The 26,442-nt window shown below is 39.9% G+C and overlaps 1 protein-coding gene across 7 annotated transcripts in view, besides 2 other annotated features; it reads right to left on the bottom strand.

Annotated features, from left to right (window-relative positions):
• The window catches only part of SMCO2 (single-pass membrane protein with coiled-coil domains 2), a 78,870-nt gene that overhangs the window by 9,940 nt on the left and 42,488 nt on the right, over positions 1 to 26,442 (bottom strand). For 2 of the 7 annotated variants that reach the window (XM_047428775.1, NM_001395208.2), the window contains exons 2-6: positions 21,481 to 21,624; positions 19,371 to 19,470; positions 17,333 to 17,460; positions 16,515 to 16,664; positions 3,699 to 3,786 (exon numbers count right to left, since the gene is read on the bottom strand). In XM_047428775.1, the coding sequence (XP_047284731.1) occupies positions 3,699 to 3,786; positions 16,515 to 16,664; positions 17,333 to 17,460; positions 19,371 to 19,470; positions 21,481 to 21,614 (600 nt within the window). In that variant the 5' untranslated portion in view covers positions 21,615 to 21,624. Of the gene's footprint in view, positions 1 to 3,698; positions 3,787 to 16,514; positions 16,665 to 17,332; positions 17,461 to 19,370; positions 19,471 to 21,480; positions 21,625 to 25,270; positions 25,399 to 26,442 lie in introns of those variants that run through there. The other 5 variants (XM_047428776.1, XM_017019254.2, NM_001145010.3 and 2 more) reach the window with 4 other exon arrangements.
• Positions 13,243 to 13,743: an enhancer, noted in NCBI's record as "H3K4me1 hESC enhancer chr12:27631436-27631936 (GRCh37/hg19 assembly coordinates)". NCBI's record gives its function as "activates a minimal SCP1, AML or CMV promoter by ChIP-STARR-seq in naive H9 embryonic stem cells {active_cell/tissue: H9 hESC(naive)}" and the evidence as "EXISTENCE:reporter gene assay evidence [ECO:0000049][PMID:30033119]".
• Positions 16,943 to 18,142: an enhancer, noted in NCBI's record as "CDK7 strongly-dependent group 2 enhancer chr12:27627037-27628236 (GRCh37/hg19 assembly coordinates)". NCBI's record gives its function as "activates an origin of replication core promoter dependent on BRD2, BRD4, P300/CBP, MED14 and CDK7 cofactors, with strong dependence on CDK7, by STARR-seq in HCT116 cells {active_cell/tissue: HCT116}" and the evidence as "EXISTENCE:reporter gene assay evidence [ECO:0000049][PMID:35650434]".

The following is a 26,442-nucleotide window of genomic DNA, read 5'->3' as shown; positions in this document are numbered from 1 at the left end:
ACGACATCTACTAGCATAGAAAATTGTTGAAGAAAATACGCTAAGTGCCATAGCAGTTGCAAAACAATATGTATAATACAATCCCATCAAAACAACAATGTGTAAATGTATGTATAAAAATTTGGAAGAATATAAATATACTAAAACGTTCATTGTGTTTGTCTTTAAGGGAGGAGGATATTTTTCATTTTTATATGAAATCATTTCATAATGTTTTAATTGTTAAAATAAGCATGCAACCAGCCACAGTGGCTCATGCCTGTCATCCCAGCACTTGGGAGGCTGAGGTGGGAGAATCGCTTGAGGTCGGGAGTTCAAGACCAGCCTGGCCAACATGGTGAAACCCCGTCTCTACAAAAAATACAAAAAAAGAAATTAGCCAGCTGTGGTGGTGTGCCCCTGTAGTCCCAGCTACTGGGGAGACTGAGGCATGAGAATCACTTGAACCCAGGAGGCGGAGGTTGCAGTGAGCCGAGATAGCGCCATTGTCTTCCAACATGGGCAACAGAATGAGACTATCTCAAAAAAAAAAAAAGATCTATATATATATAAAATACATTATATATATTTATAATGACCACATCCTATGTAAGTGGCCATTGCGCTAGGCATCATGCTAGTTAGATACAAGTAACAAGAATATTTACCCTCAAGTAGCTTATAGGTGAATTAGAGAATATACAGTATAGCTATTTTTTAACACGTTTATTCATCATCAATCCCTGAATTGGGTGGTTTAATTATTTAGAGAGGAGCTGTGCTGTGACAATCACCTCTTATTTGGTATCCTAGTTTATTTACAGAGTAAACATCTTCATACAGCACTTATCAAAGATAACTGGGACAAGGTCAGTCTCTGAATGAAAGCCCAGAAATTCACATGGAAATTCTATTAGAAAGTGTAATGGCTTGGGGGCTCAATATTAGGCCAAATAACACCCAAAGGCCACCTCAAAGTCCTTTCTGTAGCTTGAAGTTCTTTCACATACTTTCGTTTCTGTTTTGCTTTTTTAAAAAATAATTTCACCAATTTTCCCTCCTTCTCTTTTCATGCCTTTCTTAGTTATTCCATTTCTTTATGAGGAATAAGTGAGCCAATATATGTGATATTATTTTAATTTTATTAACTAATTTCTCCTTTAATTTTCCCACATTTTATTTGCTATTCCTGTATCTATTTCTAACAATCTTCACTTTTCCCTTCACCAGAATAAGCCTACAGCCATTGCTACTAACTTTGCTTCTGTAACAATTTTACCTATTTATTTATTTTGTTGTTTTTGTTGTTTGCTGGTTGGTTGGTTTGTTGAGGCAGTGTCTCACTCGGCTGCCCAGGCTGGAGTGCAGTGGCTCACTGATCATGGCTCACTGCAGCCTTGACCTCCTGAGTCCAGAAGGTGATCCTCCCACCTCAGCCTCCTAAGTAGCTGGGACTACAGGCATGCACCACCATGCCTGGCTAATTTTTTAAATTTTTTGTAGAGATAGGGGTCTCGCTATGTTGCCGTGGCTGGTCTCAAACTCCGGACCTCAAGTGATCCTCCTCCCTTGGCCTCCCAAAGTGCTGGGGTTACAGGTGTGAGTCACCACATTCAGCCAACAATTACATTTAAAGCTTCACCTTTAGATATATTACCACATTTGTTTTTATGTAGCTTTTTCTATCAGACTGTAGGCTTCTTGAGACAGAACTTGTGCCATTTTTTTGAAGACACATTTATTGAGATATAATTTACATACAGTAAAACTCACTTTTTAAAGTATACAGTTCTATGAATTTTGACAAATGCATTCTGTTGTGTAATAACCACTACAAGAAGATATAGAATATTTCCATCAGCCCCTAAATTTCCTTATACCCCTTTGTCAATCCCTGTCCCCCTTCCTCCACTAAACCTGGGAAACTAACTGCTAATCTATTTTCTGTTCCTACAATTTTGCCTTTTTCAGAGTTACATAAACAGAAGCACAAAGTACGTAAATAGTCTTCTGAATCTGGCTTCTTTCACTTACTGTAATGCATGTGATTCATTCATGTTGTTGGGTCAATCAGAAGTTTGTTCCTTTTTATTGCTGAGTAGTATTCCATCACGTACGTGTACTGCAGTTTATCCAAATGACAACTGGCAGATATTTGAATTGTTTCTAGTTTTTAAGCTTGTGCTTGGTTTTTTGTTGCTTTTAATGTGTACATAAAACTGTGTATCCCCAGCACAGAGAATTTCCGTATATGTGTGTGATGCCTTCCTCTTGCATATTATTCCAAACTCCTCCCTTTAAAAAAATCTCACTTTCATTTATGTATGTGTTTCTCTATCTTTCTCCTCAGTCTTTTGATACTCCTTCCTCCCTCCCCGCACCTGCTACTGAAATCTACATTTTTGTAATACTAACAGTTGGATTTTGGAGGAAATTCTCTAAAGCAGAATATTTCTTGGCCTTTGTCCTCTTCCCTTTTTTATAGTTTGCAATTTCCAAAGCCCAAAGATAGTGAAAAAAACTCTTTCAACTCACACAAAATAAGATTGTGACTCAAAATGTTGGACTATATCAGTTAAAAGTAATTTTTCCCCCAGGCAATAGATTTGCACTGATCTGTAAGTTACTTTTAATATGTAAGAGGTCCAAATAAATGACACCTTCCTTTAATAAAAGAGAATTTTCTCTTTTACTGCTTCCAAAATCTACTCACATTTAAACTCTTGGGCTTGAGTTAAAATTGAAGCTGGCAATTTCAGTTAAAAGAGGTTGTTAGACACAGACTTTTTTCTTTTTCAGGGACCTTTCTTCAAGCCAGAAAAACTATCAGCCAGGACTCCGAAATCTAACTTGTGTCACAAGTTGATCTCTACCTTTCAGCTCTAATATTCTATTACTAATAAGAAAATGGAACATTAGGCTGGGTGCGGTAGCTCATGCCTGTAATCCCAGCACTTTGGGAGGCTGAGGTGGGCAGATTCCTTGAGACCAGGAGTTCGAGATCAGCCTGGCCAACATGATGAAACCCCATCTCTACTAAAATTACAAAAATTAGCCAGACATGGTGGCACACACCCGTAATCCCAGCTACTCAGGAGGCTGAGGCATGAGAATTGCTTGAACCCGGGAGGCGGAGATTGCAATGAGCCAAGATCATGCCACGGCACTCCAGCCTGGGCAACAGAGTGAGACTCTGTCTCAAAAAAAAAAGGAAAGAAAGTGGAAAATTAAACCTTAATTTGAGAAGAGTCTATAAGAAGTGTGAGGAGACACAACATCAGGAAAACTCTGGAGATTGTGAAAACCAACACAAGAACTCTTCATGGGGCATCCAAGACAAACACAGGTAGATCCCTTGCACTCTAAGGATGCAGTTTTTGACCAATATTTATTTCCTGGATGTATTCTCTGTACCGTTAGGTGCTGACATACAAAGATTAAGAAAACCAATTCTCCCTTAAGGTACTCATCTTAAGGTGGCAACAAGATAGAGTTTCGTGGTAGCCGAGTTTCTAGGTAAAGTAGAAAAGTCTAGGTTTTTTGTGTCATCAGATAAAAGCAGTGTTACTCAGGAAAAGGGTGCTCAGACGTGACCACCAGAGAGCACTCCTGCTTATGAGTCTTACTTCTTGTTATTGCCTATTAACAATAGAAAGGTAGTAGGGAAAGAAGTGACAGAAATCCCCAACCTCTCAGTCTTTCCCAAGTCTCTAGCTTACCTCAGTGCTTGTCCCTTGATCAAGGTCAAGGCCCCGGTCCTCCAGCTTTTCAATTTGACCCTTCAGGGTCAGCATGTCTTTTAATAAGCTGCAAACAGACCAAGATACTAAGGCCTGCAGATTAAGAAAAATCACCCAAGAGAGGAGGTAATTTTGATCTTTCAAAAATGAAATACCATTCCCATATAAAAGGATGCTTTGGTAGTGCTTGTATTGCAATGGGAAGTAAATGAAATTCAAAAAAGTAAAAAGTACTCTAAGTAATCTAGATAATATTAAAGAGATATGAGGCCTAACTGGACACAGGAGCTGAAAATTAAAAGGGTTAAAATATAAGTTTATAAAATTTCTAAGAAAAAAACACACAGAAAATTTGGGGGACATAAGATTAGGAGAAGAGTTCTTAGGCTTAACATCAATTATATAATCTGTAAGAGGGAAAATTGATAATTGAACCTCATCAAAATTAAAACCTTAATTTGGCCAAAGACCCTGTTAAATGGATGAAAAGACAAATTACACACGGGGAAAAATATTTGCTTAGCACATATATGGCAAAGGCCTTGTATCTAGACTATATAAAAATCTCAAAAAAAGCTCAACATTAAAAAAAAACCTATCCAATTAGAAAATAAGCAAAAGGCATGCACAGACATTTCACCAAGAGGCTATATAGATAGCAAATAAACATACAAAAGGATGGTCAATACTTATTAGCCATTAGAGAAATGCAAATTAGTACCACAATGATATATCACTACATACTTGTCACAATGGCAAAAAAAAAAAAAAAAGAAAGAAAAGAAGAATAGTGATAACACCAAATGCTAGTGAGGATGTGGAGAAACGCGATCATTCATAAATTGGTGGTGGAAAAACAAAAGGTTTCAGCCACTCTGGAACACTGTTTGGCAGTTCCTGTCAAAACTTAAAACTGACTTACCATATGACCCAGCAATTTCATCCTGGGTAATTATACCAGAGAAATGAAGACTTATTTCCCATAGTACGCGTATATTCAAAGCAGCTTTATTCATAATAGTCCCAAACTGGAAATTACACATTTGTCCTTTAGTGGATGAATGGTTAAACACACTGCATAGGTTCATATCATGGAAGACTACTCAGCAATGAAAAGGAAGGAAAGATCAATACATGCGAAAATTTGGATAAACCTCAAAAAAATTATCCTGAGTGAAAAAAAGCCAATCTCAGAAGGACAAACTGCATGATTTCACTTATGTAGCATTCATGAAATAGCATAATTATAGACATGTGGAACAGATTTGTGGTTGCCAGGGGTTAGGGATGGGTAGGAGGAAATATATGTATAAAGGGGTAACACAAGTGCATCTTATGCAATGATTCAGTTGAGGATCTGATTGTCATAGTCATGCAAGGCTAAACATCTCATAAAATTGCATGGAACTATACACATACAGATGAGTGCATGTATAAATGGTGAAGTCTGAATAAGCTCTCTGGATTGTACCAATGTCAGTTTCTTGGTTTTGATGGCATACCCAAGTTAGGCAAGATGCTACCATTCAGGAATGCTGAAAATAAGGGTTCCTTGCATATATATTTTTGAAACCTCCTATGAATCTATAATTATTTCAAAATAAAAAGTTAAAAATAAAAATGGAAGCATAGGTAAAGAGGGTTGCAAAAGAAAAAAGGAGGAGAATTAATAAAGAAGAATAATGTGACTAGTTTCATATTTACCTTCTAGTTTTTGGTCTACAGGTCTCTGCAAACTGTAAAGCCCTCTGGCCCAAATATTTTATAACGTTAATTCAGAAGGTATTTGTTCAGCATTTACTATGTGCCAAGTATTATGCTGAATGCTGATGATTAAAATAGAGAATAGTATAAGAAAGGTCTTTGCCCTTTTGAAGATTATAATGTAATGTGGATTTGCAGGCAGACAAGGAAATCCATTAAAAATTAGAATGTTTTTAATGTTTTGGGTACTTCTGCTTTCAATCAACATGGAGTAACAGGAATTGGATTTAGCCTCCCATTTTAAACAATTTTAAACTTGAAAAGAATATATGAGACAATGGTTTTCAGACGTTGAACAACAGACAGTGCAGAACGTGGATCCCTCAGGTGGGAAACAAGTGAGATGGGATCTATAGTTACTTCAAGTTACTCCTGGAAAGAGTTTCCCGACTTCAAGTCAGAGAAAGGGGATGCAGGAGAAGGCTGGTGGTCTCCGTGAGTTGAGAAGATGAAGTTAGAAGCTCAGGGAGGCCACATGGAGTAGATTTGCCCAGCAGAGTGCCAAAGAGGAGAGAGCTGCACAGAGAAAAAGCTCCAGAGATCTTCCCACTTGAGAAAGCCCCACTTGGGCCTTCAGCTGAGGCACTGATTAGCACACAGGTGTGATAAAACTACTTGAAATGGGAGGGAAATCATAGCAGATTGAAGTGGGCAGAACAATCTCTAAAGATCAAGCAGTGCTGAGAATAATTGCCAGAGTGGAAAACTCTTATAATACTCAAGTCATCAGGTAGAATACTCAGAAGGTATTGTTTCAATAGTGGAGCCGTATTAGTCCTAGACTAAAGGCTGCTTTGGTCCTGCCCTACAATAATTAAAAGCAATCCTCAAAAGGGTCAGACCACTTCTAAGTAATTTAACTGTGTTCCAGAACAAAGCTCAAAATTTAAATGTACACACAAATGTCTCCAGAATACTCAAAACCAAATGAGGTAAAATTGACAATGTCTGGCATTTAGTAAAGAATTACTAGGCATGCAAAGAAGCAGGAAGCAACAGTCTATATGCTTATAAAAGGCTGAGTGCCGTGGCTCACACCTGTAATCCCAGCACTTTGGGAGGCTGAGGTGGGCCGATTGCCTGAGGTCAGGAGTTCGAGACCAGCCCGGCCAACACGGTGAAACCCCATCTCTACTAAAAATACTAAAAAAATTAATCAGGTATGGGTGGCACGTGCCTATAATCCCAGCTACTCGGGAAGCCAAGAATTTCTTGAACCCAGGAAGTGGAGGTTGCAGTGAGCCAAGATCACGCCACTGCACTCCAGCCTAGGTGACAGAGTGAGACTCTATCTCAAAAAAAAAAAAAAAAACTTAAAAAAATAAATAGAGGCAGTATTAAAAATGATTAGATGATAGAATTAGTAGATAAGGTTATTTTAAAAGTTGTAACTATATTTTATTGTCCAAGAAGGTAGAGAAAAACATGAGTACATTTAGGAGAGATATGAAAAATAGAAAAAAGACCCAGATCAAACTTCTATAGACACAAACTACAGTGTCTGAGATGAAAAATACACTGGAGGGGATTAATGTTATATCAGATACCGCAGAACCAAAAGATTAGTGAATTTTAAGATATAGTGATAGAAAGTCTGAAATGAAACACAGAAAGAAAAGAGAGAAAAAAAAAGCCCAGAACATCAGTGAGTTATGGGTTATGAGACAACCTAAAGTGGCCTAAGACACATGTAATTAAAATCCTTGATGGTGAGATGAGGGAACAGAAAAAAATGTTTAAAGAAATAATGGCTCAAATTTTCCAAATTTAAACTACAAACTTGCAGAGCCATAAGGCACAACGCAACTTAACAAAAGAAAAATTAAGAAAACTACATGAAGGTCGATCATATAAAAATGATTAAAAACTATATATATATATATATATATATTTTTTTTTTTTTTTTTTTTTGAGATGGAGTCTTACTCTGTCGCCAGGCTGGAGTGCAATGGCACGATCTTGGCTCACTGCAGCCTCCACCTCCTGGATTCAAGCAATTCTCCTGCCTCAGCCTCCTGAGTAGCTGGGACTACAGGCACATGCTACCACACCCAGCTAATTTTTGTATTTTTAGTAGAGATGGGGTTTTACCATGTTGGCCAGATTTTTTAAAAATTTTGAAAACAGCTGGGAATAGAGCAAGGAAAATTTTATTTGTAGAAAAATATGGAAGAGAATGACAGCCAACTTCTTGTCAGGCACAACGCAAACCAGATTTCAACAGCATCTTTAAAGTACTGAGAAAAAAATGTCAGTATATAATTATATACTCTGCAAAACTATCTTTACAAAATGAATGCTTTTTTTCAGACATAAAAAGCTAAAAGAACACATCCCCAGTAGAACTGTATCACAGAAGATAGTTTTGGGTTTTTGTTTTTTGTTTTTGAGAGTCTTGCACTGTTGCCCAGGCTGGAGTGCAGTGGAGTGATCTTGGCTCACTGCAACCTCTGCCTCCTGGGTTCAAGCAATCTTCCTGCCTCAACCTCCCGAGCAGCGGGGATTACAGGCGCCCAGCTAATTTTTGTATTTTTAGTAGAGACGGGGTTTCACCATGTTGGCCAGGATGGTCTCCAACTCCTGACCTCAGGTGATCCACCCACCTTGACCTCCCAAAGTGCTGGGATTACAGGTGTGAGCCACCATGCCTGGCCACAGAAAATAGTTTTTAAAAGCCCTTCAACAAGAGGAAAATGATGCCAGATATAGATTGTATGCATACAAATGAATGAAGAGCACTGGTAATAGTAAATATGTGTGTAAATATAAACAATTTTTTTCTTACTTTAAAAAATCACCTTAAACAATAGTTAATCATTTAAAGTAAAAAACAAAACAAAACAAAAACCCCTGACGTATCATGGGCTTATATTCAGTACAGAAGTAAGATGTACGCCAACAGTAGTGCAAAGGCCGGGAGAACAGACATAGAAGTACAGCATATGTAAGAGGTAAAATATTACTTGAAGGCAGATAGTGATAGTTTAAGAATCATTCTATTTAAGCCAAATTAACTATTTTTAAAAAACAATGAAAAAGGATGGGCATAACGGTTCACGCCTATAATCTCAGCACTTTAGGAGGCTCATGCAGGGGGATTGCTTGAGGCCAGGAGTTGGAGACCAGCCTGGGCAACAAAGCGAGACCTTGTCTTTACCTACACACAAGTTTCAAAAATTAGCTGGGCATCATGGTGCACACCTGTGGTCCCAGCTACTCAGGAAGCTTTAGGTGGGAGGACCGCTTGAGCCCAGGAGTTCAAGGCTGCAGTGAACTATGATCACACCACTGCACGCCAGCCTGGGTGACAGAGCAAGACTGTCTCGAAAAAGAAAAAAAACAAAGAGAAGGATAAAGAAATCATTTATAATGATAAAGGGATCAGTTCTTCAAAAAGACATAACAGTCCTAACATTCATGCAACTAAAACCAGAGCCTCAAAGTACATGAAGCAAAAACTGATAGCTCTGCAAGCAGAAATAGACATATCTACAGTTACAGTTGGAGATTTCAACACTCCTCTATTGATCATCTATAGAGGTAGAGAGAAAATCCATAAGTACCTGGAAGACTTGGATAACACTATCAACCAACCTGACCTGATTGATATTTGTAGACTACTCTACTCAAACAATAGTAGAATACACATTCTACTATTGTATTGCACACATATCATTTACCAAGATAGACCATATTCAGCGCCATAGAACAAGTCTCAATACATTTAAAAGGAGTTGGCTGGGCACGGTGGTTAACACCAGTAATCCCAGCGCTTTGGGAGGTCAAGAAGGGAGGATTGCTTGAGGCCAGAAGTCCAAGGCTAGCCTGGGCCACATGGCGAAACTTTGTCTCTACAAAAAATACAAAAATTAGCTGGGCCTGGTGGTGTGCACCTGCAGTCCCAACTACTAGGGAAACAGAGGTGGAAGGATTGCTTGAGCCTGGGAGGTTGAGCAGTGAGCTGTGATTGTGCCACTGCACTCCAGCCTGGGCAACAGAGCGAGACCTTGTCTCAAAAAAGAAAAAAATTAAAAGGAGTCAAGTAACATAAAATTTGTTCTTTGGTCACAATGGACTTAACTGAGAAGTCAGTAAGAGAACGGTATCTGGAAGATCTCTACATACCTGGAAACTAAAACATACTTTAAATAATCCATGGGTTGGCCGGGTGTGGTGGCTCATGCCTGTAATCCAAGCACTTTGGTAGGCCAATGTGGGCGGATCACCTGAGGTCAGGAGTTCAAGACCAGCCTGGCCAACGTGCTGGAACCCTGCCTCTACCAAAAATATAAAAATTAGCCAGGCATGGTGGCGAATGCCTGTAATCCCAGCTGCTCGAGAGGCTGAGCAGGAGAAATGCTTGAACCCGGGAGGCAGAGGCTGCAGTGAGCCAAGATCATGCTATTGCACTCCAGCTTGGGCTGATGGAGATGAAGCGAGACTCCATCTCAAAATATAAAACATTAAAATATATTTACAGATATAAAAATAATCCATGGGTCAAAGGAGAGATCAAAAGGGACATTAGAATGTATTCTGAGCTGATTGAAAATGAAAACACAATATATAAAAATCAGTTTGATGCAGTGGAAACAGTGCTTACAGGGAAGTGCAGAGCACTAACTGATTATTATAATAGAAAAAGACAAGAGATCTCAAATCAATGACCTAAAGTTCACCTCATGAAATTAGAAAGAGGATAGCAACATAAGCCTAAAGTCAGCAGAAGAAAGGACATAATTAAAAAAAAAAAGCAGAATCAAATGAAAATTTTCAAAAAGCCAGAAAAACAATAGCAAAAAACCCAATGAAATCAAAAGCTGGGTCTTTTAGCAAACCAAAAAATGTATAGATCTCTATCCAGACTGATACAACAAAAAGAAAAGAAGACACAAATATTCAATTTCAGGAATAAGTGAGGAGACATCAATACAGATGCTAAAGACATCATATAATAAGGGAATGTTACGGATAACTTTATGTCAATATCTTTGACAACTTTGATAAAATGGGCACATTGTTTGAAAGGTACAATCAACTTAATATCTTTAGCAATATATCCTGAATAGCCCTATTACATCTATTAAAGAAATTAATAGATACAAAATAAAATTCATAAATTAAATTTTTAATTAAAAACCTTACCACAAAGAAATTTCCAGGCAATACAGCTTCCCTGGTGAATCCAATCCCACATTTAAGGAAGAAATTATACCACTTCTACACAAACTTAGCCAGAAAACCAAACAGGTCCGGGGAAAATCTTAATGGTTTTCTACATGGCAAGTGTTATTCTGATATTAAAACTAGACATTACAAGAAAAGAAAATTGTAGGGCAATACCCCTCCAGGAGGAACTCTCCATTAGAGGGAAAAGGTAAGAGATCCCTAGTGGTCCACATTCAACTTCTGCAGTCCTAGCCACAGGAGAGTTCCTCGGCCTTTGCAGGCCCTGAGACCAGTATAGGGAGCTGTCTGGAGTCCATGTGATAACTGTTTCAGACAAAGTTTGTCAGGGGTCTTACACACCCACTGAGACCAAAGCAACTGCAGCACGGCACCATTTTGAGAGCCCAGCAGCCACAGACTACCTCCTGCCCTGGGGCCCAATAGCCCCTGCATTTCCACATCCCTGAAGCCCTGCCGACATCCCTCTACGTGCACCCAGAGCTGCAGTATCACCATGCCAACTGAATCCAGCATGCAGTCAGGTCCCCAGCACTCTAGCTCAAGCAGTGTATTACACCCAGGGAACAGGGTAAGGAAGGCTGCCCCAAGGACAAAGGGAGCCAAAGTTTGGGCTTCCCAGAGCCAGGAGTCTCTGCCACTGACAGTGTGTTAGTCTGTTCTTGCATTGCTATAAAGAAATACCTGAGACCAGGTAATTTATAAAGAAAAGAGGTATATTTTGGCCTATGGTTCTGTAAGCTGTACAGGCATGGCACCAATATCTGCTTGGCTCCTGGTAAGGGCCTCAGGAAGCTTACAATCATGGTGGAAGATGAAGGGTAGCCAGCGTATCACATGGTGAGAGCAGGAGCAAGAGAGAGAGAGGGGGGGGAGAGGTGCCACATTCTTTTAAACAACCAGATCTCATGTCAACTCGGATCAAGAACGCACTCATTATCCTGAGGACAGCACCAAGCCATTCATGAGGGATCTGCCCCTGTGACTTAGACACCTCCCACTAGGCCCACCTCCAACATAGGAGATCACATTTCAAAATGAGATTGGGTGGGGACAGACATCCAAACCATATGAGTGCCAAGTTGACAAGGGGTTGACTTGTGATAGTTAATACTAGATGTCAACTTGACTGGATTAAGGGATGCTTAGATGGCTGGGAAGTCCACTCCACTAGCCACTACTGGCACCTGTGCATGCCACCCAGGGGCCTGAGGAGCCATTGTTCCTGGGTGTGTCTGTGAGGGTGTTGCCAGAGGAGATTGACATTTGAGTCAGTGGACTGGGAGAGGAAGACCCACCCTCAGTGTGGGTGGACACCATCCAATCGGCTGCCAGCACAGCTGGAACAAGGCAGGCAGAAAAGGGGAAGAAGCAGCTTGTTTGCTGAGTCTGCTCACTCTCTCTCTCTTCCTGTGCCATGCTGGACACTTGCTTCCTCTCCTTTTGCCCTTGGATATCAGCCTCCAGGTTCTTTGGCCTTTGGATTGTGGGACTTGCACCAGTTGCTTTCCAGGGGCTCTTGGGCCTGCAGCCACAGACTGAGGGCTATGCTGTTGGCTTCCCTGGTTTTGAGGCTTTTGGACTTGGACTGAGCCATGCTACTGGCTTCTCTCTTTCCCCAGCTTCCAGACAGCGTATCGTGGGACTTCACCATGTGTATTAGTCTATTCTCATGCTGCTAGTAAAGACGTGTGAGACTGCGTAATTTATGAAGGAAAGACTTTTTAATGGACTCACAGTCCCACATGGCTGGGGAAGCCTCACAATCATGGTGGAAGATGAAGGAAGAGCAAAGGGATGTCTTACATGGTGGCAGGCAAGAGAGGGCTTGTGTAGGGGAACTCCCTTTTATAAAACGATCAGATCTTGTGAACTTATTCTCTATCACAAGAAAAGCACAGGAAATACCCGCTCCCATGATTCAGTTACCTCCCACTGGGTCCCTCTCACAACACACGGGAATTATGGGAGCTACAATTCAAGATGAGATTTGGGCGGGGACACAGCCAAACCATATCACCATGTCATCATATGAGCCAGTTCTCCCTAATAAACTAATGCAGCTATCGATATGGATATATCCTATTGGTGCTATCTCTTTAGAGAACCCTGACAAATACAGACAGCAACCCTGGAGCCTCCAGCAGCAGGGCTGCCTTGCAGCTGCACACACCTTCAGGAGGCCTGGGGACTGGCCCACCTGAGCACCATCCTGGGGCCAGATGACAGGTCCACCCACTAGCCACTACTGGCACCTGTGCATACCACCCAGGGGCCTGAGGAGCAGCCTACCCCACCCACTGCCATCACTGTTGGCACCAGGGCACACTATCCAGGGGCCCAGATATCAGCCAACCAGGCCTGCCTCTGCCAGCCCATGCACACCATCAGGGGACCTGATGACAGGCCCATCCCACTTATCAGCACCACTGCTGGTATTCTATTGCTGCACTGCCTAGGGGCCTGGGGACTGACTTGCTCCACCCATAGCCACTGACACCCACATACACTATCAAGGGGCCTGACAACAGTCCTGTTCAACCCACCCCTACTGCTGCCTGAGCATGCTATCCAGGAGCCTGGTAATCAACTCACTCTGCCTGCCATTATTGGCAGTCATTCATGCCATCTGAGGGCCTGAGGACAGGTCCACCCTGCCACTGCCACCATCAATAGCACTGGGGACTTGTGTGCATCATTGAGGAGTTTGAGGACAGGCCCGCCCCCCGTGTTGCCAGCACCAGTGCCTGCCACACATCATTTGGGAACCTCAGGATCAACCTGCCCTGCCTTCAGGGTACCAACACTTGCTTTCTGTGGGCCTGAGGATGGGCCCTGCTCACTGCCACTGCCTATGTACATTGTTCAAGGGCCTGGTGATAGGCCCACCCTTCCTGCTGCCTGCACCTATGTGTGTTTCCTGGGGGCTTAGGGACCAGCCTGCCCAGCCTACAGCTGCCGCCATCACTGGTATCTACCCATGCATGACTCTTAGGGGCCTGAGGACTGGCCCCCCCAGCTCACTGCCATCACTGCTGGCAATGTGCACATGCTGCCTGGGAATCCAAGGATTGGCCTGCTGCTACTATTGCCACTGTCAGTGCCACACACAGTGCCCAGGGACATGATGACCCACCTTCTCAGCCACTGCTGCCACTGTCAGCAATCAAGCAAGCTGCCTAGAAGCCAAAGATCTGGCCCACCCAGACTAACCACCACTGGTGCATGCATATGCTGCATGGGGACCTGAGGACAGGCATTCCCACCCTGCTGCCACCACCACTAGCACTTGAGGACCAATCTGCCTAGGGTAACTGTCCCCAGTAAAGTTTGCCACAGCCTCCACAAATAAGCACAGCCTAAGCCACTGATGAACTTACAGATACCACTGACGCTGATTACAACCAAAGAAATCATGTAGAGACTACACTAGTATGCCCACCCACCAATAATCAAAGCCAAAGCACCCTACTCAACTAACACTATAAATACAGCTTTAGGAAAACCTAATCTTTCCCTATGAAAGCCAATGCATAAAATTGGAAGAAGTGACTATTACACCAGATGTATAGATATCAATGTAAGAACCAAAGAAACATGAAAAAGGAAGGAAACATGACATCTCCAAAGGAGTGCAATAATTCTCCAGTAACATCCCAATGAAAAGGGAATCTATGAAATGCCTGAAAAAGAATTCAAAGTATTGAAACTAAAGAAAATCAGTGAGATATAAGAGAACACAGGTAAGCAATACAAAGAAGTCAAGAAAACAATTCATAATCTGAGTCAAACAGAAATTCTGAGACTGAAGAATTCAATGAATGAAATAAAAATATAATAAAGAGCTGAAATAATAGACTAGATCAAGCAGAAGAAAACATTTCTAAACTTTGAAGACAAGTGTTTTGAAATAACCCAATCAGCCAAAAAAAAAAAAAAAAGAATGAAAAAGAATGAAGAAAGCCCTACCTGACATTTGGGACACCATAAGGAAACCAATATTTGGATATTAGGAGTTCCAGATAGAGAATAAGTGGGCAAAGGCATTAAAAAAAATTTAATGAAATAATAGCTAAAAACTTCCAAAGTCTTGCAAGAGATAGACATTCAAATACAGAAAACACAAAGAACCCCAAATAGATTTGTATCAAAAAAGTCTTCTCCAAGGCTCATGACAGGCAAACTGTCAAAATCAAAGACAAAGAGAGAATTCTAAAAACAGCAAAAGAAAAGTGTCAAGTCACATATAAGGGAATCCCCATCAGACTAACAGCAGGTTTCTCAGCAGAAATCTTATAGGCAAGGAGAGAATGGGATGATATATTCAAAGTGCTGAGAGGAAAAAAAAAAAAAAAAAAAAAAAAACCTGACAGCCAAGAATACTATACCCAGCAAAACTATCTTTCAACAAATGAAAGAGAAATAAAGTTGTTCCCAGACCAGGAAAAAGTGAGATAATTCATCACCACAAGAAATGCTTAAAGAAATCCTACATCTGGAAGTGAAAGAACAAAATCTACAAACATGAAAACTCACAAAAGTATCAAATTCACTGATAGAATAGATATACAAATGAGAAAGAGACAAAAATCAAACATTACCACTACAGAAAACCATCAAACTGCAATTATAAACAATAAGAGAGAAAGAAATAAGGATATACAAAACAACCAGAAAACAATGAACAAAATGACAGGAATAAGTCCTTACTTATCAATAATAACCTTGAATATAAATGGATTACATTACCCATTTAAAAGATATAGAGTGGTTGAATTGATTTTTTAAATGACCCAATTATATGCTGCCTAAAAGAAACTCACTTCGCTGTAAAGACACATGTAGACTGAAAGTGAAGAAATTGAAAAAATATTTCATGCAAACAGAAATCAAAAGCAAGCAGGAGTGGCTATACTTAGAACAGACTTTAAGTCAAAAACTATAAAAAAAGACAAAGGAGGGTATTATATAATGACAAAAGGATCAATTTAACAAGAGGATATAACAATTCTAAATATATATGCATCCAACACTGGAGCACCCAGATATATAAAGCAAATATTACTAGATCTAAAGGGAGAGACAGACTTCAATACAATAACAGTTGGGGACTTTAATGCCAGACTCACAGCATTGGACATATCATCTAGGCAAAAAATTAACAAAGGAACATTGGATTTAAACTGCACTTTGGACTAAATGGATCTAACAGACATTTACAGAACATTTAATGCAACAGCTGCAGAATACACCTTCTTCTCATCAGCACGAGGAACATTCTCTGGGATAGACCATATGTTAGGCCACAATACAAGTCTTAACAAATTTTAAAACATTGCAATCATATCAAGTATCTTCTCAGATTACACTGGAATAAAACTAGAAATCAATACCAAGAGGAACTTTGGAAAATATAGAAATGTATGGAAATTAAACAACATGCTCCTGAATGACCATTGGGTCAAGGAAGAAATTAGGGAAGAAATTAAAATTGCTTGAGACAAATGAAAACAAACAACCTACCACAATTTATCAGAGACATCAAAAGCCTGACAAAGAGGTAAGTTTACAGCAATAAACACCCACATCAAAAAAGTAGAAAGATTTCAAATAAACAATCCAACAGTGTACCACAAGGAACTAGAAAAGCAAGAACAAACCAACCCATAAATAACAACCCAGCAACCCAATTTTTTAAATGAGCAAAAGATAAACAGATATTTCATCCAAGAAAGTATACCTATGGCCTAAAGACTTTATCATCTTAAGCCCAAAGTTTCTTAAATTTTTAAAGCTATGAAACTTTCTGCTATTTTATGACCAACCCCAACACCCTACAATTACCTCTTCACTGTGTTTTCTGTTACATTTATTTTTTTAATAATATTGTCAATTTTCTCCGTTCCGTCTATGTAATCAGCTCCAAGTTCTTTCACCTGGAGACCTATCTTTGTGTTCCAGTAGTTTAGCTTGAGGAACATGCCCTTCAGACACCTGCGGAAATATTATGGTGATCATTTTCAAAGCAGAAAATGGGAAACAATTCACATAGCCTGAAATGCTCTTCCTTTGAATAGCGAGTTGATCTGTTTAGTCTTCCTTGTCACCAAAATGGGCCAGGTGGGCACACAAGCCTCAAGAAAAGAAGTTTGGGTATTTATTTGATATCCACTTTAGCAGATCTTTAAAGACTCTATAAAACAAAGCATATTTTATGTTTAATAAAAAAAGATATATTTTTAATTTCACTGTGTGGAATGAATGTTAAATATTGATATTAAGATAGTGGTTACATCATTCTGGGGGAGGAGAGGTATACAATAGGGAAAAGAGCCACAAGGGCTTAACAACATACTCTTAATGATAATTATGGTTTTCCTATCTAGAAAATTATCTGAGAAGGCTTAAATATATATTAATTTCAGGCCTCAAAGAAGAGTTTGCTCTTTCTTTTTTCCCATGCTCTGTCTACATCCCTAAAATGTCCTTACACCACATTATTGCTAGATCATGTAGGTAGTTACCTATGCACAGGACTGCTTTATGGTTCAAGACATGTATGGATTTTAAATCTTCCAGACTTTCCCTAAGTTATCTGCTTAAATTCTATTTTCCCCTCCACACATTATTAAATGCTCTGTCTTGCATGTGTCAAGACTTACAGTTCAAGGAGGTTCTTCTTTGAAAACTGCAGAGATGTAGACGCTTGAGGGTCCTCATCAACATCTGTTTCTTGCTTATCCTGTTTACTCAGGTCCTGGTCATGCTCAGCCTCTAGCTCCAACATACCCTGGTAAAGATGATGATGGAAGCAAAGCAGAACAAAAGGTTAGTACAAGATGTGGTGGTTCTTCCAGCCCTACCCAATCCCCCTTTGCTGGGGTCAAGCACATAGTCCTCTCTGAGACTGGAGCTTTCTGATGCATCTGTAAGCTAAGCAGACATGCCCTTCTGCTCTGTCTACAGAGGAAAGCTGAGGCAGGGGCATGGAGAGAATCAGTGTCCACACGGAGAGCTCTTTTCAGTCCTGATGAGTAATCGAATTCCATCTGACCACGGACTCCAAAACTCCACTCAAATTAGATGACTGTTCTGGTCTCTTAAAAAAAATCAATGTCATAAAAAAGAAAAGGTGGCAGGACTATTCTATATTAAGAGAGTCTAAAGAGATATGAAAACCAAACATATTGCATAGATCTTTTTGGGATGCTGGTTTAAAAAATATGGCTGTAAAAGACATTTGGGGGACAATTAAAGAAATTAGAATATTGAGAGAATTGAGATTATTATATTAATGCTAATTTTCCCAGATGTGATAACAGTATTTTGTAGGAGAAAGTTTTATTTTTAGAGACGCTTTCTGAAGTAAACAGGAATGAGATATCATGCTGTCTTTGACCTACTTTTAAGTGGTTCAGAAAGTTTCATCTATTTATATACACAAAGATAAAGCCAATGTGAGAAATGTGAAAGATTTTTAAATACAGGTGTAGGAATATGGTTAATCATTGCATAATTCTAAGTTGACCTTTTAAACTGTTTCATATCAAAAAGAGTTTGGGGGAAAACGCCTACTCTATGAGTTTGATCAATACAATTTACTTTTTTGTTTCTGTATTCTTTGCCATGTTCTAGAAAAGCATCCAAGACATGTTCTGCTATTTCAAGTCTCTGCATGCAAAAATCGACAATGATTTATCCTTGAACACTTCTTTAGTAACTCTTTATGAAATATTTCTTCTGTCCTTTGAAGAAGTTTGATCTGAATTTCCTGTGTTTCACAGAACTATTTTTAAACTGGAAGGAGAAAAGTTTGGAGGAGGGAGAATAGATCAGTTTCTTTTTTAAATGTCTGCGTAAACTACTGGCCAAGTCAATAGAAATAACTAACATTCATGTAACTCTTTACAAATTAGTTTCATGTGCATTATTTATTTTCATTCTCACATGGCCATTTGTATTTAGTGACTTGCCCAAGGTCATAGAGTATAGAGAGTTAAGTGGTGGTCCCAAACAAGGAATGCCTATGTCCTAATACAGAACTAGGACCCCATGCATATTATCTTATTTGGAAAAAGAGTCTTTGCAGATGAAACTAAGAATCTTGATATAAGATCGTCTCAGATTACTTGAATGGGTTCCTAAATCCAATGACAAACATCCTAATGAGAGACAGAGGAGGAGAAGACAGACAAAGAGAAGACCATGTGAGGATGAAGACAAGAGACCAGGAGTTATGTAGCTACAAGCCACTGAAGGCCTGGAGTCCCAGAAGCCTGAAGAAGGATTCTCTCCTGGAGGCTGCATTAGGGGTGAATAGCTGAATTCTACTGGAAGATAATCTGTGAGGAGGGGGTATGGTCATATGGTGATTTGGTCATATGGTGATTTGCTCGAAGGTGAGAAATGTCACAGTTATTTCATAAATTCCCGAGGACAAAAATAACATATAATTCACTTTTTTTTCTTTTTTGTTCGCATGGGAAGGCTAGTAAGTCCTTCATGTGGTAACAGCAGCATCCAGTGGGAACAATGCCATATTCCCTGCCTCCCTCCTGATTTCAAGCTTTGAAGTTCTGCACCAATTAGAAGAAAACCCTCAGATATTTTCTTACCACTTTAAGATATGCGGCGTGAAGTTCTTCTCTTCAACCTACTGTGTCATTTAAGTGTCTCTCTTACCCATTTTTCAGTGTCTACCTTGTGAAGGAAGTCAGTTTGAGGGTTTTCGGAGGAAATGTCATCCTCATCATCCGATCTGTCTAAGATGTGGTCCACTTTGATAATTTCCTTTAGCAAACTGCAAGCCACACAATCCAAACAGAGGCTGTTATTATGCCTTTGGGCCAGAGCTTGGGCCTGCACTACTCCTTTCTAAAGGGAGAACACTGAGATCTTCCCCAGTCCCAGGGAGCATCTGCTATCCTTGTACTGAGTTCTTTCTGGGTGAATAACACCTCACATATTATATCTCACAAGTAGAAATAGAGGGGCTGGATAAATAATAATTGGCTGAATCCATAAATTAACAGTGAGATTCCAAATTCCAAAGTAATTGCAGTTCTGTGCATATGTATGTATAAATGAGTGTGCACAATCAACAAATAAGTAAATTAATATCCTGTTTTAAAAAGTGGAGTTTAAAAACCTTATGTGGTTTAAATGGGCAGAGAGGAGTAGGTCTACAGTGCCCTCTTGATCTCCACCCCGCCAGCTGTCCTCCTCACAATGTTTACTAGCTTCTTTATTTTCAACAGAGATGCTATGCATAAATAAGCAGAGATGTTTATGTATGCATGTATGCGTGTATATATTATATATATTATACAGAATAGACCCTTTAAAATATATGGGAGGATATTTATACACTCCATTCTGTGTATACATCAAAGCACTTTGAATTTCTTATTTAATAACCTATTTTGGAGTCCATTTCATATTAGCACATACAGAGCGGCTTCGTTTTTAAAATGGCAATATGGTATTCCATTGTGGGGCTGTAAAATAATTTTCCAATCAGTTTTTTTATTAACAGATAGGTAGAATGTTTCCAATCATTTGCTATCACAAACAATGCTGGAATGAATATCCTTACACATCTATATGTGGTTGTTGTGTATGTGCACAGCATATCTATTGGAAAACCCGAAAAGTAGAACTTCTAGGTCAATAGATATGTATATTCTAAATTTTGATAGATTTTTAGCAAAGTATGCTTTAAAGAGGTTGAATCAATTTTCACTCCGAGCAAAAATGTGCCTGTTTCCCACTCCTTGTCTAAATCCATGTGCTATTAAAGTTTTTGATCCTTGCCAACTTGGTATGTTTAAACTGGTATCTCATTTAGTGTTAGTCTCATTTTATGTGTGAGGTTGAGTATTTTGCCTATGTGTATAAAACTCATTTGTATTTCCTTTTCTAAAACAAATGTGTTGATAGTCTTTGCCCATTCCCTACCACACTTTAATATTTTGCTTAATTAATTAGTACCACCCTTATTAATATTTTGCTGGAGAGAGCCTATATGTTCCCTCTCGTATGCTTTTGAATGGGTCACAATAAATGTGTGATATGTGTCTATAAAAGTAGTTCCAAGTCTATGGGATTTGAACCTAGAGGGTGGAGGTGTTGTCAGGGTTGAGGGGGTATTGAGTCACTTCACATCTAATCTGCTTAGAAAGGGATCCTGGAATCTATACAGATTTAGATAGAATGAATAAATATTGCTTATATGAAAAAACTTATATGAAAAACTGCCCAAAGTTTACAAATGCGTATGCTACTATCTTCAATAAATTATAAATGCATTTAAGAACATCTTTGATATCATAATAGCTTTCTTGCCATATGAGGGATTCTTGGAAAATCTTTTACCTTAAAAATGTTTTCCTAGTTAAAAAGGTGTTGATCATAGCTAAACTAGTATGCATTTTAAACACGTACTAGCAAATGTATATATGTGTTTATACCACTGTTTGTACTCCCTCTATGCCAGAAAGTATTTTAAATGGCTTAGATCTTCAGCAAGTGAAGATAATGAAGCCATAAAACAATCCACATATTTTCCCAAATTGAGATTACTTTTTTTAATGGGTATCTGTATCTGCCCAGTTTATGATGGTGGGCCCCTTTAGCTTCTCATAAGGCCTACTACAGTAAATATTCATGAGATTAAAATTAGATAAATTATAGTGAAGACTGTCAACCTAGACTCTGAACCTGGAAATCTCATCGTTTGCATACCGCTGGCCCAAGAACGTCTGCAGTTGGGACCCTAGAAACTGCTTCTGCAAGCTCAGTTCTGACTTACTCCTGCATTGCACCTTCAGTCACATTGAGCTTTTGGAAAAAGCCATTGTTTTTCTTAGTCAGCTGTTGTTCCTGGCAGTCCATCTTCATCTGCAGAGACATTTTGTTATTTAGGTTTGTGGGCGTGAGAGCCATTTCTTCGGCACTGTAAGGACAATAATGACAACAAGAGGGATTTTATGGCAGAAATGGCAACCACATCCTCTTCATTGACACCAGACTAACTTCTTCCTCAGGGCATTTGGCTTTAATTCCTCCCCTTTCAACTGGCTGTTCATCGTAAAGGACCCCAAAACAAGCTCTTAGATTTTGCTTCTCAAGTATATATGAGAAAGACCTGTGTGGCTGTCTCCAAGGACACACCTCTTGGCTGGTAAATGTGCGCTTTGAATGCTCGAAGGAGAATACTACAGAGGAATATATAATAACCAGCCTGGAAGAATGGGAACTTTCATTTTTTTAATCGCTTTCTGATTATATAATAATATGCATATTGTAAAAAGTAAAAAGGGCAAAAGAAAAAAGTAAAATCATTGGTACTTCAGAGATAACCAGAGTTAACCCCAGAGATATCCAGACTTAACCACTGTTAATATTTTAGTACATTTTATTTCTGCTTCTAGATTTGGTGTTTGTTTTATTCTTTTCCCATTGTTGACAACTAGGTTATTTCTAATTGCTTAGTAGTATAAATAATGCAATAATGATTATCTTTGTTTAGTAATTTTCAGTGTATGTCTAATTAGTTAAATACTTCCTTAGAGGTGGAATTACTGGTTCAAAGGAGTTTGACCAGATTTTTAAGGATTTAGACAAATATTTCCAAATTGCTTTCCTAAAGGTTTAACTAATATACACTGGCATCAGCTGTGTGTAAGAACAGGAACCTTCCTTCCAGTCTGATAGGCGGGTGTTCGCTGGACAGCAGAGGAGTGAATTGTTGGAGTACTTAAGTAGTGTGAAAAATAACGGAAAGGAAACAGGAAAGAAGGTAGAGACGTGTGAGATAGGCTCATAGAAAAAGCTGTAGGGAAAGGATAGATACAAAACATAACTCCTAGTTATAGGCAGAAATCAGGAGGGTGTGTCCAGGCTAAACAGGAAGACACCTTCTCTTCTGTATATTCAAGTGAGTGATAGCAGTAGATTGGCCTAGAACTAGAGGGTAGCCTGGCTCCCAGCACCCTGAGGGACAAGAGGGGATGACAGACTCATGGGAAGAGAAGGCATTTTTCTGCAAGGGTGATTTATGGCAGGGACTAGCAACAGGGAGGAATAATCAGGGAGAAGGGAGGCCCTGGGAATCACAGAGATGTTAAAACCATTTGCACAGACAAGGGCTTGGTCGATCATTCTGTGGCAGAATTGAGCTTTGTTCTTGACTTGTGTGGTATAAAAGGGGCCCCTGTGAAAGAGAAGCATCAGGAAAGAACTAGAACCTTTGATGTGTGATGGCACCATCCTTTTTAACTTTGAATGTGGCAAAAAATAAACCTTTGATTTCCCTCAGGAAGGTCACTATTGCCTGCCAATTTCATCACAGCCCCTATCTGGACAGTTTTGTCCATTTCCTGAGGGTGTTAAGCATTACAAAGGCAATTCCAAGCTCTGAAAGGTGAACAGACACTGAGATTTGCCTTGTTTACTGTTTTTATGGTCCAAAAAATAGAATACCATAAAAATAATAAAATTTCCTTATTCTGATAATTCTCTATCATCTCAATGTCTCCCCCAAGAGTGATTTCAAAGAAAACATCGTCTGTCAATTTAGGCACCTACCCAAATTCTGCCTCCACACATTCTCTCACATTTTACCTAACAATTAGAATCCTAACAATGGCTTATGTCTGTGCAGTCCCTAACAGATTACAAAGTACCTTTCACATATTTTCTCATTCAGTTCTCACAACAACATGATACAGAGGGTATTATCCCCATTTTATGTGTGTATTAACGGAGCCTATGGGAGATGATGTGATTTACTTAGAGTCAGATATAAGAAGTAAAGCCAGGACTCAGAGCTTCCATGTCCTCACAGCTACTGATAAAAAGATTTTCCCCACCTCCCACCTCCAAAGATGACCTAGACCAGGGCTCTCCAATAGAACTTCCTGTGTTGATGAAAATGTTCTCTACACTATTTGATACAGTAGCTACTAGCCACATGTTTCTATTGAGTACTTGAAATGTGGCCAGTGCAACTGAGGAACTGAATTTACAGCCACACATGCCCAACGACTATCATGTTGGACAACTCAGAATTTTCTAGAGCAACGGTCATCAAACTATGGCCAGCAGGCCAAATCCAGCCTGCCACCTGTTTCTAGAAATGACATTTTATTGCAACACAGCCACACCCATTCCTTTACAAATCATCTATGACTCCTTTTGCACTGCAATGAGAGAATTGAATGGTTGCAAGAGAAATCATTTGGCATAGAAAGGCTAAATGTTTACTATCTTGCCCTTTACAGAAGAAGCATGCCAACCCCTGTTCTAGACTATCACCTTCTTCTATGATGTTGGGTGTTTGCTACGATCCATCAGTTGAATGCAGTAAATAAGAGCTAAACTTTGGAGAATCAAGCTGAGTTCATAATCCAGCATCAACACTTCACAGCTGGGCCTTATCTTATTGTCTGGGGGCCTCACTTTTTCCTCTGCAGAATGGGGCTAACAATAGTAATACTAATATTATTAGAGATGTGAGGAGTAAAATTGTGCTTAACATGGCATCAGGTAAATAGCAGACACTTGCCAATGTTATCGATCTATCTATTAAAATAAAAGCTGTGGAAATGGGAGCAATTAGTAACGTTTAACTTCAAATAACACAGTAATAAAAATAATGCTTACACATGTGCAGCACTTTCAGTTCATAAGGCACTTTCACTAAGTTGTTTCCTCTGACCCTCATGATTACCCTGTGGTTAGCCAACCATGGCACATCTTGTTACCTCTATTTTATCAGAGGAAGAAACTGGAACACAGAGATGACCTGGGACTTGTCCAAAGTTTTATTGCTAGAAAATGGTAGAATCAGCATGGAAACCTGCAAATTCTGACTATAAGTTTTGCAGTCATCCTACTATTACACATAAAATTAATGCCCAATGCGTCTTAATGGGTTGGCTAACAGCCATCTTACCTCAAAAACAATCCATCTTTTGAAGCCAACTTTTGACTAGTGACATAGTGCAAGTCCTTAGTGCTCAAAGTGTGGTCTGCAGGCCAGCAGCCTCAGCGCTTCCTGGGAGCTTGATGCAAGCTGTCCAACCTAGTGCAGATACTAGATCCCACCCAGACTCATTGAACCAATGTCTGCCTTTTAGCAAGGTTTCAGGTAATTCATACACATATGAAAGTTGGGAGTTACTCATACTCTAGACCTTTTAAAATAGACTCCTTCTTCTCCCTACACCCCATGTCTTCATTCTTGTGTGCTTACCCCATTGGCTTTCTAGGATTGTTTGGTACAAATGGAGTGAATCCCTCCTCCTTCCCCCATATCCTATAAAAACTTTTAAAATTACACATTTAGAGAAGCATCAGTTTCAGTTACAAGGAACAATCAACTATTTTAAAAGACAGTTGATGAAATCACTAACTTACATTGTGAGGGGATTTCTCCAGGCCTGACCACCCAGATTACCCTCTTGGTTCCTGCTACCTGGACAATTTGGGATCTCAGAAATTTGTCAAAGCCATGGTACTAATAATCAGGGATTCGACGTCACTATAGGCTCCTGACAAGGTCATAATGAGACGGTACGCTGTGAAATAGTATATACCTGGAGATAGCTTTGCTCTTCCCAATTTGGTAATCCCAAATATCTGTAAGTTCAATGGAATAGACTAGCAACAGTCAAGTTTTCCTGTTCCAGTGGTGCCAGAGCCTCCTTTCCTCAGCACCAAAGGCAGAGAGGAACCATTTGAGTGGTAAACACCAAGGCAGGTAAGTGTGCTGCTGGACTTTCCCTTTATAACATTTCACTTGGAATGCAGTGCCTGTAACCCCCTCTCACAAGATTCTAGGTGTGCAGTGCTCTCCTGACTGGCTTCTACCTTGCCCTTCTAGCCTGTCTCTCAGCCTCCTCACTTCTCTTGCTAACTCTGGAGACTAAGTCCTTCTTCCACCCCAGCCCTCTGTCCACCCATCTCCTGGCCTCTGATATGGTGTTCTGGGATGCTCTTCCAATCTCAGCTTCTTCTACCACATCTGCTCCTTTCGTCTCTCACTTGAACAGAACATCTGGCTTTCCCACAGAGGCTCAAAGACTGACAATGAAGGACATGTCTTCTACCAGTAACAAGCAAGCATTTGATCTTCCTTTTTTTATTTTATTTTATTTTTTGAGTCAGACTCTCGCTCTGTCGCCCAGGCTGGGGTGCAGAGGTGCAATCTCAGCTCACTGCAACCTCCGCTTCCAGGGTTCAAGTGATTCTCCTGCCTCAGCCTCCTGAGTAGCTGGGATTACAGGCCCACTTGGCTAATTTTTGTATTTTTAGTAGAGACAGAGTTTCACCATGTTGGCCGGGCTGGTCTCGAACTCCTGACCTCAAGGGATCCACCCATCTTGGCCTCCCAAAATGCTAGGATTACAGGCGTGAGCCACTGCACCGGGCCCAAGCATTTGATCTTCTTGCAAACCAGGGATGCTCTTACTTTATACCTCTGTGACCTCGTCTCCTTCGAAGTTCCTCTTATTATTACACTTTTACAACACACCTTCACCTTCTTCCAGGACTTCAGTGCCAGGCTCACATTTCCCTCTCCCATTATTCTTGGTGAACTCGGCACCCATGGAAAGGGCCTAACAGTCTGACCTTACAAGTCCTAAGCCCCTGCTCTTAAGACACTCCTCTTCACCTATCAAAAACATTCAGCACCATGGAGATAAAGCACAGAACAGTTCTTAAAAACATAAACTTTAGAATCACATCAGTGTCTGAAACCTGGTTT

The sequence above is a fragment of the Homo sapiens genome, chromosome 12, assembly GCF_000001405.40.
Source record: "Homo sapiens chromosome 12, GRCh38.p14 Primary Assembly".
Classification (NCBI taxonomy): Eukaryota; Metazoa; Chordata; class Mammalia; order Primates; family Hominidae; genus Homo; species Homo sapiens.
The sequence above is the reverse complement of the archived record's forward strand: the minus strand, read 5'-3'. Positions and strand labels throughout refer to the sequence as shown.